The 14907-nt window shown below is 39.5% G+C and overlaps 1 protein-coding gene and 1 pseudogene across 1 annotated transcript in view, besides 3 other annotated features; both read right to left on the bottom strand.

The window, feature by feature from the left end:
• Positions 1-8361, bottom strand: part of MPP7 (MAGUK p55 scaffold protein 7) — a 284211-nt gene extending 275850 nt beyond the window's left edge. Inside the window, exon 1 of the mRNA XM_047424647.1 lies at positions 8028-8361. The gene's annotated coding sequence lies outside the window, so the exon portion shown is untranslated. The remainder of the gene's footprint in view (positions 1-8027) is intronic.
• Positions 7503-7552: a silencer, noted in NCBI's record as "silent region_2250". NCBI's record gives its function as "represses an Ori minimal core promoter by ATAC-STARR-seq in GM12878 lymphoblastoid cells {active_cell/tissue: GM12878}" and the evidence as "EXISTENCE:reporter gene assay evidence [ECO:0000049][PMID:35858748]".
• Positions 8198-8317: an enhancer, noted in NCBI's record as "active region_3190". NCBI's record gives its function as "activates an Ori minimal core promoter by ATAC-STARR-seq in GM12878 lymphoblastoid cells {active_cell/tissue: GM12878}" and the evidence as "EXISTENCE:reporter gene assay evidence [ECO:0000049][PMID:35858748]".
• Positions 8588-8637: an enhancer, noted in NCBI's record as "active region_3191". NCBI's record gives its function as "activates an Ori minimal core promoter by ATAC-STARR-seq in GM12878 lymphoblastoid cells {active_cell/tissue: GM12878}" and the evidence as "EXISTENCE:reporter gene assay evidence [ECO:0000049][PMID:35858748]".
• Positions 12435-14223, bottom strand: ZNF101P1 (zinc finger protein 101 pseudogene 1; annotated as a pseudogene).

Consider the following 14907-nt stretch of genomic DNA (forward strand, 5'->3'; position numbering starts at 1 on the left):
GCTCTGTCTGCTGCACTGATATTCTATTAAATCCCATAGACCAGAAAAAGCTTCAATGCTTAGATGCAAGAAAGAGTTGAAGTGTTCGTGGCCACTAAGCCCAGGACTCAGCCATGACAATGAACGGTATCAATGACCAGGGAAGGATATGGTGAGGACGGAGATGCCAGGAGAGTCTGGATACATTCCTCCCCAGGTCACCAGCATTTACTTGGGAAAGCAAAGCACATGTGACCAGCTGCACTGAAAAACACCAACGTGAACCTTCAAAGGGAAACCAGATGGCTCTAAGCCAGGGGTAAAAATAGCTCAGCATCCAGCAAAGCCCAAACTAGGAACTGGGAAGTCTTAGAGCCTCTCAGGTTTTGATTTCAACTTGTCAAAGAAGTAAAAAAAAAAAAAAAAAAAAAAAAAGTCTTAACTGTGAGAAGTTGTTTTGGAAAGAGATATTCAAAATGCAAATATTACCCCTTCTACCTAGCTCGTTTCAAATTCATTGGACTGTCATTTGCAAAAGAATTGAAAAAGATTTGCAGCTGGAAAAAAAAAATTTATATTTCTTCTCATCTGACCATAAAAAGAAAAACTGGCAAACCAGCTTAGAAACTTGATAAAGAACTTCTTCAATTCGTGGACTAATAGGAAGAGCTGGATAAAGACAGAAATAACAACTTTTGATTTTTTTTAATTTAACAGTTTTTAAAGACCCAAATATATGGATTTATCTGAGTTCTAGTTTATTTATTTATTTATTTTACAGAAGCTGTTTAATCTAGCTCCTATTGTTCCAGCGAGGTTTCTATTTTTAACCAATGGGGGTGAATCATGCTGAGACCATCTAGGGACATGTTTAGAACATGAATTTTCAAGTCAAGAACCAAGTGAAAATTTTATTCCCAAATCAGGGCCTGGCTGCTCAGCACACTAGCAGCTATTGTGCCCTGACATTATATTCGTGAGTGTGCACTGATTGTGTCATTCAGAACAGAGGTGACTGGAAGAATTCCATGGACCAGAAAGAGCTCGGATAATAACTCCTTAAAGATAAGAGGAAATAAATGGCATTTGACTTGGGGTTCCCTCAGTCCCCTGACCTGTTGAACAAGGAAATGTTTTTGTATCTTTCAGTTGCTGAAATTGATGCAGGCTTCTGTCTCCATCCAATCAGCAAAGACGTTTTTGTCCTCATGTACAGTGTTGTTCTGTGCTGAGAACCATGAATCCTTTTCTTATTTGACTCAAACTTCTAGTGCTTCATTAATATAATACAGTCTTGGTACTTGGCTAATAAAAAAATCTCAGCTCAGTCAGATTTAATTCTGATTTTTTTAAGAAAAAAATAAAAATCTAATTACAACTGACTTTTACCTACATGCGAAGGTTCAATGTTCAAATTCACACCTTAAAAAGTATAGAATAACTGTTTTTTGAGGTCTATTTCATAGTTTTTAAATTTTGAATCTCTTGAAATTGAACATTAACTCTAGTATTCCCTCCTTTTCAGTAGGGCAGAATTTTAAATATGGCAAGGATGAGATTAATAAGCTGTAGTAAAATAAGCCCTAGTAGAGTTTAAGTTTATAAGCCCTAGTTAAGTTTATAAGTTTAAGTTATGAGCTCTGGTAGAATTCTTAGCTTTTTCTCTCCAGGTGTCAAGAGCTTACTCATAGTTAAGAGGGAGGAAAAAAGTGCTTCTGTCTTGAGACTTTTCCTTAACTAGCAAGCACTTTTTTTTTTTTTTTTTTGGATTAAAAGTTTGTTTACATTCCAAATAGAGTAGAAAGGCTTATGTGCTTTTCTGTTACACTGGAAAGATATTATACCAAAATTATAACTATATTGATTCATGTTTTCTTCTAATACCTTTTAGTTATATTTGCAGCGTTTACATTTTCTGTATAGCTGGCACAGATTTTGTATAAATTCAGCTTTGTTTAATGTCTATTTGTCGAAATACCATGTGACACTGATTTGAAATACTTTTATTACATATTAAACTTTTCTACATACTGTCCTCACTATACCATTACGATGTCTCTTTCTTTTTATTGCCCCACTGTTTTCACCATTATAGCTTTTATGTTGCCACACTGTTTTACCATTGTTGTATATTGTAACACATTTTATTTTTATTGTGCTACATAGTAAAATGTATTATAAAGGTACTGATATTTTCTGTTCATTTCTAAAATTGCCCTGGCTACTTCTTGAACCTCTTAATGACCTGTAAACTAATCTATCAAGTCTCCTTGCCCACCTCCTTGCCTTCAATTGATTGGAATATCTTTTGATTTATTGGTTAATTTAGATAGTATCAATATTTCAAAACATTGCTTGCTCTAAAGCATTAAAATAGTCAACATTTCTAGAATATTACCTTATTAATTCTCAAGGATTTTATGTTTCTGGTTTGTTGTTGTAACTGAGGGAATGCTGTCTCTCTTACTTGATATTTTCATTTTCTATTGTGAGCTTGGAAAAGTATCGATTTTTACATGTTACCTTAAAAACCACTACTTTACACGCCTGTAATCCCAGCACTTTGGGAAGCCGAGGCAGGCGGATCACGAGGTCAGGAGATGGAAACCATCCTGGCTAACACAGTGAAACCCTGTCTCTACTAAAAATACAAAAAAATTAGCTGGGCGTGGTGGTGGGTTCCTGTAGTCCCAGCTACTCGGGAGGCTGAGGCAGGAGAATGGTGTGAACCCAGGAGGCAGAGCTTGCAGAGAGCTGAGAGATCGCGCCACTGCACTCCAGCCTGGGCAACAGAGCGAGACTCCGTCTCAAAAAAAAAAAAAAAAAAAAAACCACTACTTTACTAATACTTTTCTAACAGTTTTTCAGCTGAGAAACTTTCCTTAATGAATAATGCAAAATTGAGTCGCATTTGTAGTTTAAATTAAATGATCAAAATGTAGAATCTGAAATGAGGATTTCCAGTAACTGAGGATATGCACATTTATATAAATCTGATTAGCTTTAACAGCTTTATAGATTTTAACCTTGTCCAACAAGAACAATATAAATATAAAGGCTTGGGGTCTAATCCCAGCTCCTGACTAAAATGCTCTAATGATAAATACCTTTCTCCCTTCTCTTTATTGTGAGTTTTCACATTTGTGCAGCAAAAAGAGTGATACTTCTCCTTTTCTTCCTGCTTTGAGGTAAAATAAGGATAAATGAGACAATTCGGTGAGGTGCTGTTAATAGCTTCCCAACAGGTACCACATAGCATCTACCAAACACACCTGCCATACTCACTAACAAGAATACTACTTGCAGAGTTTTCATGTTGGTAATAGTGGAGTACCTTATATCAGCTGAGCTTCCTTTCAACGACAACTATAAATGCTGAAATAGTTTTTGAAAATGATTTGAAGGCACTGGAGGGTGACTAAAATCAGGTCAAAACTGAACTGTGCAATGGCACACACCTGTAATCCCAGCTGCTTGGGAGGCTGAAGGAGAAGGATGGCTTGAGCCCAGGAGTTGGGAAGAGAAGAAATTCCAAAATGTCTAAAATAGGCTCAAATAGTACACTGTGATCACACCTGTGAATAGCTACTGTGCTCTGACCTGCCCAACTTAGCAAGATCTCATCTTTAAACAGAAAAGATTTTTTATTAATTTTTAGACTTTTTTAAAAAAAGCAGGAAGAGACTGGGTAAAAGCTTCACTTATGTGGCTTTTCCTCTAAGAGCACTCTCTGGCCTATGCAATATGGGGTGGCTAGAACTCAGGAAGAAAGCCACAGTCTTATTGAATTATTGGGGGATCAGAGGATAAAATATGGGGTTGCTTTTTTTGTTTTTTGGTTTTGGTTTTTTAAGATGGGATCTTGCTCTGTCACCCAGGCTGGAGTGCTGTGGTGCAATTATAACTCACTGTAAAATTGAGCTTCTGGGCTCAAATGATTCTCTCACCTCAGCCTCCCAAGTAGCTGGGACTACAAGTGCACACCACTATGCCTGGTTAATTTTTTAGAATTGTTTTTCGTAGAGTTGAGGGTCTCCCCATGTTGCCCAGACTAGTCTCAAACTCCTAGGCTCAATTAATCCTCCTGCCTCAGCCTCCCAAAATGCCAGTATTACAGGTGTTAGCCACAGCACCTGTCCTGATCCATCTTGTTATTCTTTAACACAGTACCGTATTCATTTTGTTGCACTGAGGACAATTTGAAATTATGTGTGTCATACTTGTTTATTTACCATCTACCCCACTAGAATATAAATTAAATGAGGGCAGAGTCATATCTACTTTGTTCACTGTTTACCTAGCTTGGGATCTAGCATCTAGCAGGTGCTCAACAAATATTTGATGAATTAATGAAAAAAGGGAAATGTCTTCAGAGTCCATTTAGACTTTCTCTGGCTTCCCATCTCAGTGGCTACTCATTGAGTGGGTCCTGCCTTCAATTAACTTCCTTCTTCTCTTCCTTTCTACACTAACCTCACTGAGGGGAGGAGCCTCAGGGAAGTTACAAGGGTAAGTTTCTAATGTCAAATGCAGGAGAAGGTCTTGGAAACTATTTTAAGTAATTATAAGTATGAATTATGATATGAATTATAAGGCAAGAAACCACATATGCAATATAATAGTACAATATTTAACCCTAATTGTTGGTCTCGCTCATAATTTACCCAGTCAGCCTGTGATGAGAGTTATAATACAAGCTAAAGAGGATATTTTTAAAAAGCAATTTTCAGTTTGTAGGGTTTTTAAAAATTATTAGTATTATTATTATTATTTGAGACAGAGTCTCGCTGTCACCCAGGCTGGAGTGCAGTGGCATAATCTCGGCTCACTGCAAGCTCCACCTCCAGGGTTCAAGCGATTCTTGTGCTTCAGTTTCCTGAGTAGCTGGGATTACAGGTGCACACCACCATGCCCAGCTAATTTTTGTATTTTTAGTAAAGATGAGATTTCACCATATTGGCCAGGCTGGTCTTGAACTCCTGGCCTCAAGTGTTTCAGCCACCTCAGCCTCCCAAAGTGCGGGAATTACAAGCATGAACCATCTTGCCTGGCCTTAAAAGATATTATCTTTATATAGAAATGAGAACAATTTGTATTCCTACAATTCATCTCCTTGGTATTGCTGAAGTCACAGGCACTAATTCCAGGTTGCAGATGTTTAGAAATTGTATTTCTGCCCTCTATAAGAGAATATAAAGCTACTGACTCACTGGTAATTGAACAAGCATTTGCTTTGTTTATTCAGCTGTGGTACTGGTGTGGGTTATTCCTTCAACCACAGTTCTTGAGCTCCTTTCCCAGCCACCAGAAGAAATTGAGTTTTTTTCTTACAAAAAGCTGCAAGTCTTCATTTCATTAACACCACGTTTTAAGCAACTTAGATAATGTTTGAGACACGTACATTGCCAGTTTGTCAAATGTATGCGTGTGTGTGTGTGTGTGTGTGTGTGTGTGTGTTTAATAAATTGCGGCTAATCTTGGGTACAGAATTTCCATTTCCCATCTATTTCTCTAAGGGCTGTCCTAACTATATTTCCCTCTTACTTATGATGTAACTTAAAGTTGAAAGGATATCATTTAAAAATTTCAAAGCATGGGAGTTTTAAAGTTATTATTTTACAGTTGGCAGTTTACACACATTTTGTGATCTAAATAGTGCAATGGCATGAATTAGAATATAAATAGTATAAACCTGTTAGAAATAGGTATAGTTAGAAAACTTTATCATAGTATTGTGCATGTGTATAAAATCAACAGGTTTTGAGCACTTAAATTGTAGCACTTACTCTCCAATATGTTACTACATTTAACTCTGAAACAACTCTGTAAGGTAAGTTATTATTTGCCCCCCATTTTTTGAGATAGGGTCTCACTCTATTACCCAGGCTAGAGTGCAGTGGCACAATCATAGTTCACTACAGCCTTGAATTCCTGGGCTCAAGCAATCCTCCCACCTCAGCCTTCTAAGTAGCTTGGACCACAGGCACGTGCCACCATGCCTGGCTAATTCTTTTATTTTTATATAGAGACAGAGTCTCACTATGTTGCCCAAGCTGGTCACAAACTCCCAACCTCAAGCAATCCTCCCACCCCAGCACCCCAAAGTGCTGGGATTACAGGCATGAGCCACCGTGCCTGGCCCTATTTGCTTTGTACAGAGGAAACCATGTCAAGTGTCCAACAGCTGATACACACATCTAAGATTTGAATCCATTCATGTCTGGGGACACAGGCTATGCTTATGGCATTGTGAGAATTCTACTTAACTTTAACCTAATGTGTTAAAATTTCAATATTCTGGAATACACTATTCTAATTCTTTTTATTTATTTATTTTTTAAGACAGAGAGTGTCACTCTGTTGCCCAGGCTGGAGTGCAATGGCACGATCTCAGCTCACTGCAACCTCCGCCTCCCTGGTTCAAGTGATTCTCCCTGCCTCAGCCTCTGGAGTAGCTGAGATTACAGGCACCCGCCACCACACCCAGCTAATTTTTGTATTTTTAGTAGAGACAGGGTTTTGCCATTTGGCCAGGCTGGTCTCGAACTCCTGACCTAAGGTGATCCACCCATCTCAGCCTCCCAAAGTGTTGGGATTACAGGCGTGAGCCACTGCGCCTGGCCGCTATTCTAATTCTTGAGTTCTGCAATTATACTATCCTGTTTAGCACACATCATAAATTTTCAGCTGAAGTAAATCACTCAGAAGTAACAGGAAAAGGTTACATGTAGGTCTCAGATGTTCCGTTATGCAACGTTGTACATTTGTGAAACTACAACAAGCAGGAAATACTGCAACTAAAGTCTAGTGCAAATTTGGCAGCACAGATAATTACAGTCTAATTTTCTACAATGTAACTTTTTCAAGTATTTTGCAGGAAACAGTTTCCATTTGAAAAGAGATACATGTAGCCACATTTCCCAGTGAGACACATGTAAAGTAGGTGGAATTAATTTTTTTAAGTCTATCTAGAAACAAAGGAAAAGCAGAGGTTTCCTCCCAAACATCCAAACCCAGATGTAGATGAAAAATTTGGGCCGAGAAATTTTTGTATGGGCTGCACAGTGGAGACATAATAGTAGCCAAGGGGGCCGGCTGCGGTGGCTCGTGCCTGTAATCCCAGCACTTTGGGAGGCCAAGGCGGGCGGATCACTTGAGGTCAGGAGTTCGAGATCAGCCTGGCCAACATAGTGAAACCTTGTCTCTAGTAAAACAAAAAATACGAAAAAATTAGCCAGGCATTGTGTCACACACCTGTAGTCCCAGCTACTCAGGAAGCTGAGGCAGGAGAATTGCTTGAACCCAGGAGGTGGAGGTTACAGTGAGCCAAGATCATGCCACTGCACTCCAGTCTGGGTGACAGAGTGAGACCTTGTCTAAAAAAAGAAAAAAAAAATAGTGGCTGAGTCATCAAGGAGGTGAGATGAAGGAGAAAATGAAAGATGAAAAATTCCTAAAACAAAGTTTTAGAACAACTAAAGGAGCAGAATAAAAGTAATCATTTTAATTCAAGATATTATACATAAGAATAACGTGATCTGGACAAAACAAGAGAGAACATGATAGTTGACTCCCCATCACCACTAAATACTCAACTGTTAACCACAGCAATTGCATCCAGGATGAGATGATGGTTACGGTGTCTGAGTGAAGCTACTGTTTTGCTTCTTTCTTTAGTTGCCAAGCAACCTGTTGACCTCAATGTTCTTGTGTTTATACTCAAGTCAATGTGCTTGACGTTTATTTGTTCTGATATAAATAATTGTGTGCCCTAGTAGAGATACAAATCTACAAGGGTTAAAATGCTGTGTGGAATTTAAATATTAACACTTTCCCTTTAGGAACATCTGTTTCTCCCAGTCTTTTTCTCTTTGTGAATATCAATGTTTTATTTACACAGTTAAGACCCTGGTGATGGGAAATATTTTAAGCTAAAGACAGAGTGGGATTCTGGTTTAGGAAGACAGACTCATCCCATACATTTTCTTTCTCACCCTTCCAAAATCCTATTGAAATGAGATAAAATATTTTAAAATTATATTACTTACCTATTGTTGTGTAACAAATTACCCCAGAACTTGAGGGCTTAACACAAGCAACACGTTTTTGAATCTCAGTTTGTGTGGGTCAGAAATGAGGAGGCAAATTAGCTGAAAGTTTCTGTTTTAGGATCACTCACGAGGCGGCAATCAAGATGCTGCTGGGGCTGCTGTCATCCGAAGATTTCACTGTGCTTGGGGATTCACCCTCAAGTTCCCGACACGGCTGCACGGCTGTGGGAGGAGATCTTAGTTCCTCATGGCACTGAACTCTCCACAGAGCTGTTTGGGTGTCCCCTTGACATGACACCTGCTTTCTCCCAGAGGGAGTAATCCCAGGGACAGAAGACAAGGCAGAAGCCACAGGTTTTTTGGGGTTTTTTTTGAGACGGAGTCTTGCTCTGTCACCCAGGCTGGAGTGCAGTGGCGCGATCTCGGCTCACTGCAAGCTCCGCCCCCCGGGTTCACGCGAAGCCACAGGTCTTTTATGAGGTAGCCTCAGAAGCCACATGTCATCATTTCTGCCATCTTGTATTAATCATGCAGACTAACTTGGATCCAGTGTGGGAGATGACTACCTAAGGGATGTGGGCTATCTTGAAGTCTGGCTACCAAAAAGCTAAATCCAAAACAGCATAGTAAAAGGGAAATGGTAGCCATCAGAAGATCTTTTGAATGATAGATATCAAGTGGAATTATAGGATATTAGAAATAAAAATTAGAGTCCTGGATCTAAAAACTTAAGGATGTAATCAAATTAATTCTCAGTGGAAAATGTATAGCCTCAATTTATTATTAGAAAAACCTAAAAGATAGAAAAATATATTATCTAAATATTCAACTGAAGTAATTATAAAAACTTTTACTGGCCAGGTGCAGTGGCTCATACCTATATTCCCAGTGCTTTGGGAGGCCTGGTGGGAGGATGTCTTGAGCCCAAGAGTTCAAAGAGGCAGTGAGCTGTGATCACACCACTGCACTCTAGCCTGGGTGACAGAGCAAGACCCTGTCTATTAAAAAAAAAAAAAAAAAAAATTCGCCCAGACTGGAGTGCACTGGTGCGATTTCGGCTCACTGCAAGCTTCGGCTCACTGCAAGCTCCGCCTCCCAGGTTCATGCCATTCTCCTGCCTCAGCCTCCCAAATAGCTGAGACTACAGGCGCAGGCCACCACACCTGGCTTTTTTTTTTTTTTTTTTGTATTTTTAGTAGAGATGGGGTTTCACTATGTTAGCGAGGATGGTCTCAGTCTCCTGACCTCATGATCCACCTGCCTCGGCCTCCCAAAGTGCTGGGATTACAGGCGTGAGCTACCGCACCCGGCCAGAAAATTCTTATTAACTTCTGCTTCTATCTGAAATCAGAGTTTTAGAAACATCTGTTTCTTTTAAAAAGCCAATAAAATTAGCAATCCTTTAAAAGTCTACTCAAGAACAAAAGAGAAAAGATACAAATAAAAACTAAAACCAGACAGGGGAATACTACTTTAAAATTATAAGAAAGTGCTGGATGTGGCAGCATGCGGCTGTAGTCCTGGGTACTCAGGAGGCTGAGGCGGGAGGATCACTTGAGCCCAGGAGTTCTAGGCTGCAGTGAGCTATGATGGTACCACTGCACTCCAACCTGGGTGACAGAGCAAGACCCTGTCCCTAAAATAAATAAATAAGAAACATGAAAAGAAAGACTGTGTGTATCATTATGTTAATACATTTGAAAGTCTAGGTGAAACCAATTACTTTTCAGAAAAATATGAGTAACCAAGTTGTGGGGGTGCACGTCTGTAATCCCAGCTACTCGGGAGGCTGAGGCAGCAGAATTGCTTGAACCTGGGAGGTGGAGGTTGCAGTGAGCCGTGATGGCACCACTGCACTCCAGCCTGGGTGACAGAGTGAGACTCTGTCTGGAAAAAAAAAAAGAAAAAGAAAAATTCATAACCCTAGAAGTATTTGAAGAAGTAGCAAAACACCACACACACACACACACACACACACACACACACACACACACACACACATCAAAAACTCACAGGAAAGAGCACCACATTCACATCTGGTATAACCTACCAATGTTTTGAGGAAGATTCATTCATTTTACTCAGTAACTATTTATTGAACTCCTTTTATGTTTTAGGAGCTGGGGATACAGCAGTAAGCAAAAAGAAGTTCCTGCCTGCAGAGATTCTTTGTTTTACTGCAGTGAGCAGAGTAACAAAACTTTCTGATTCATTTTTCTTTTTTTTTTTTGAGACGAGGTCTTGCTCTCTCTGTCACCAGGCTGGAGTGCAGTGGCGTGATCTTGGCTCACTGCAACCTCCACCTCCTGGGTTCAAGCGATTCCCATGCCTCAGCTTCCTGAGTAGCTGGGACTACAGCACCACCACGCCTGACTAATTTTTTGTATTTTAGTAGAGATGGAGTTTCACCATGTTGGCCAGGATGGTTTCAATCTCCTGACCTCATGATCCACCAGCCTCGGCCTCCCAAAGTGCTGGGATTCAAATCAACCTAACCCTGAAGCCAAAACAAGACAAGCACAATCTTATATAAATCATGAAGGAAGAAGGAAGGAAGGAAGGGAGAGGTAAGAGAGGAGAAGGAAAAGGAAGGGAAGAGGAAAGAAAAATATAATGGAATTACAGACTAATCTTATTTTTTTTCAAACTCAATTAAGGAATTTATTTTTAAACCACAGCTAACATCATACTTGACCATGAGACTAAATGCTTTCTCCATCAGATTAGACACAAAATATTGTGATATCACAGGTCTGTCTTTAATTCAAAATGAACTATCCAAATAATACTCAGAAACAGTGACAAAAAAAAGGACAACAAATGTAAATGACTCCCATGACACAATGGTGTATGATAAACTTGACGTACTTACAAATTGACACCAGCTCTTCATTAGCAAAGAAAATGGAATAAAGAGTCATGTCAAAGCAGTAGTTTTCCCCATAATAAAGGAAAACGGAATATACATACTGGGTTAGAAATATCCAGAACTTGCCACATAACACCAATAAGAAAATCTCAATTCACAAAGTCTCATTTTTCAATGGCCCATTAATCACAGAACAATTAAACACTGCATAAAAAATAAATTTCAATTCACCTATAGATCCAACACACTTTAAAATGGATAGAGAAAATCTTTTTAACTGTATTAGGATAAAAACACTTCCTATTAAGCCTCAGGTACCATGGCTTAAAGAGTACATACAGAATTCTCAACACAATGTTTCCTTGCAAAAGAAGTAGAAATCCAGCTGAGCAGGGTGGCTCAGTCACGCCTGTAATCCCAGCCCTTTGAGAGGCCAAGGTGGGCGGATCACCTGAGATCAGGAGTTCGAGACCAGCCTGGCCAACTTGGCGAAACCCCATCTCTACTAACAATACAAAAATCAGCCAGGCGTGGTGGCAGGCACCTGTAGTCTCAGCTACTTGGAGGCCAAGGCAGGAGAATAGCTTGAACCCAGGAGGCAGAGGTTGCAATGAGCCAAGATTGCTCCACTGCTCTCCAGCCTGGGCAATAGAGCAAGACTCCATCTCAAAAAAAAAAAAAAAAAAATAGAAATCCATCTTCCAGAAATCCTCTTTAAGAATGAGCCACTGATAAACACCATATATTGATAACTTTGTATCATAATTCATTTGTGGAGTTTTTAGCCTTTTACAATAATTAATTTACATCAGGTTTTCCAAATTACTTACATTTGCAGGATTTCTTTCCAGTGGGAGTTTTCACATGATTTTTAAAGTAAATATTAAAATGGAAAACTTTCCTGTATTTTCCATATTACTAAGGTTTCCACCCAGCATTCATTCTTCTATTTTATAATGTCCATCTCCAGCGTGCATTGCGGTGTGTCTTTGAATGGAGATGACAGCAAGGAAAGCATCCCCACATTCTGTATATTCATAGGATTTTTCTCCAGAGCCCTTTCCCATGTTGGAAAGCAACTGAGAACATTAAATGCTTTACCATATGTTTTACATTTAGGGGGGTTTCTCCAGTGTGAGTCCTTTTATGATTTTGAATGGAACCAGGACATCTGAAGCCTTTACTACACTTTTTATATTCTTTGAATTGTTTTCCAGGGTGGGTCTTTTCATGTCTTTAAAGAAAACTGGGAAAATTGAATGCATTCTGTACATCCACAGGATTTCTCTCCTGTATAAATGAGGTTCTTTCTTTCTTTTTTCTTTTCTTTCTTTTTTTTTTTTTTTTTTTGAGGCAGAGTCTTGCTATGTTGGCCAGGCTGGAGTGCAGTGATGTGATCACAGCTCACTGCTCACTGTCACCTCCATCTCTCAGCTTCAAGCAATCCTCCTGCCTCAGTTTTCTGAGTACTTGAAACTACCAGCACATACCACCCGACCCAGTTAATTTTTTTTCTTTTTTCTTTTTTGATACAAGGTCTTGTTATGTTGCCCAGGCTGGTCTCAAACTGCTGGACTCAGATGATCCTCCTGCCTCAGTCTTTCAAAGTACTGGCTGCACTGGGCAAAATGAGTTCTTTCCTGTAGTCAAAGGTAATTTTAAAAACTGAAGACTTGCCCACATTGTTTACAGTCATAGGGTTTTTGTTTAGCGTGAGTCCTTTCATGTCTTCCAAGGGAACTGCACGACCCAAAGGTCCTACCACACCTTCTACATTCATAGGATTTTCCTCCAGTATGAGTTTTTTCATGTCTTCAAAAGGAACTGAGATAATTAAAGGTTCTGCCCCATGTATTACATTCGTAGGGTTTCTCTCCAATATGAGTTCTTTCATGTGCTTGAAGGGACGTGGGACATCTAAAGACTTCACCACATTTTTTACATTCATGAAGGTTTCCTGCACTATGCATTTTTTTGTGTCTTCAAAGGAAACTGGAACAATTGCGTCTTTTCCCACATTCCTTACATTCATGAGATTTCTCGAGAACATGAGCTCTGATTTCATATGTCCAAAGGTAAGTTGAAGAAATGAATGCTTTACCACAGTGTTTGCATTGGTAAGGGTTTTCTCCAGTGTAAGTTCTAACATGTATTTGAAAGGAACTAGGGCCAGGCGCATTAGCTCACACCTTTTAATCCCAGCACTTTGGGAGGCCAAGGCAGGTGGATCACGTGAGGTCAGGAGTTCAAGACCAGCCTGGCCTGGTTTCACCTGATGAAACCCCATCTCTATTAAAAATGCAAAAATCAGCCAGATGTGGTGGTGCACGCCTGTAATCCCAGCTACTCGGGAGGCTGAGGCAGGATAATTGCTTGAACCCAGGAGGCAGAGGTTACAGTGAGCTGAGATCGCGCCACTGCACTCCAGCTTGGGTGACAGAGTGAGGCTCCATCTCAAAAAATAAATTTAATTTAATTAAAAATTAAAATGAAAGGAACTGGAACAATCAAATGTTTTTCCACAGTGTTTACATTCACAGCATTTTTCTCCAGTGTGAATGTTTTCATGTATTTGAAAGTAAATGAAAACAGTGAAGGCTCTCACAATTTCTCTACATTTATAGAACCTCTTTCCAGTGTGAGTTCATTGTGAAATAAATACTGAAATTAAGGGCTTTGCCTCATAGCTTGCATTTATAACATCCCTTTCTAGTGCATATTACCATGAGTCTTGGACCACTTCTGGGAGAAATGGAGGCTCTCCCACATTGTTTATGTTTATGGGGCTTTTCACCATATTCCCCACCACACTCATATTGTTTGTGTCCAGAGTGAGCTCATGTGCCTATGAAGGAATGAATGATGTACAAAGACTATTCCACACACACTGCCTTGCATGGTTTTACTCCAGTACGAATTTTCTTGTTCAGATGACAATCTGCTTTCTGGCTGCGGGTTTCTCCACATTGACTCCTTCTTTACATCCACAGAGTCTCTCCACCATATTATTTCGTAGCTTTCTCCCAAGATTTTGGGACAGATTTTCAATGTCCTGGCTTTCCATTTGATTCCTACAGACACCAGATTCCTGAAGGCTTCCAGCATTGCATTTCTGTAGAGATTCTTCCAGGAAGGTCCCAGCAAAGCCCACTCCTCCTGGGTGAAGTTCACAGCCACATTCTCAAAGCCTACTGAGTCCATTTCCAGCTTCCTGGTGTCCTGGCATCCTCTCTACGATTCAGGCAGCCACAGCAGGTCCCATGCAACAGAAGCTGCAGTATCAGGACCACCAGTGGCCTCCCAGAGGAATTGAAATCCCCTAATCTTATTTACAATCTTAAATGCAAAAGTCATAAATAAGTTATTAGAAAATTGAATCCTACAGTACATAATATATTATGATTAAAAAGTTCTATCCAGGAATCAAATAATAGTCCAAATTTTAAATGAATTAATTTTTTAAATGAATTTATGTAACTGTGAAACAACATTAATAAACTAAAAGAAAAAATTATATAACCAACTCAAAAGTGCTAAAGAAGGATTTAATAAAATTCAACATTTTATTCAAATTAAGTAAGTTAAAACTTTAGTAGCTCATAGTAGACATTTTTTAAAACTCTGCCCAGCACTCATTCACTCTTTTGTTGGGTTTTTAGGGAACCACCATGAGGTACACTGTATTTTGGGGGTCCCAACGAACCATACCTCCCATGCTCACACCTTTGTGTATTTCTCTCTCACATTTACTCTGAACTTGGCCATGTGACCAGTTTGGGCCAAATTAATTTTTAAAAAACTTTTATTTTAGGTTCAGGGGTAATTGTACAGGTTTGTTTTATAGATAAACTCACGTCACGAAAGATTGTTGTACAAATTATTTCATGACCCAGGTACTAAGACTAGTACTCAATAAGTATTTTTTCTGATCCTCTCCCCCTCGCACCCTTCACCCTCAAGTAGGCCCCCACATCTGTTGTTTCCCTCGCTGTATCCATGTGTTCTCAT

This window comes from Homo sapiens, chromosome 10, assembly GCF_000001405.40.
Source record: "Homo sapiens chromosome 10, GRCh38.p14 Primary Assembly".
NCBI lineage: Eukaryota > Metazoa > Chordata > Mammalia > Primates > Hominidae > Homo > Homo sapiens.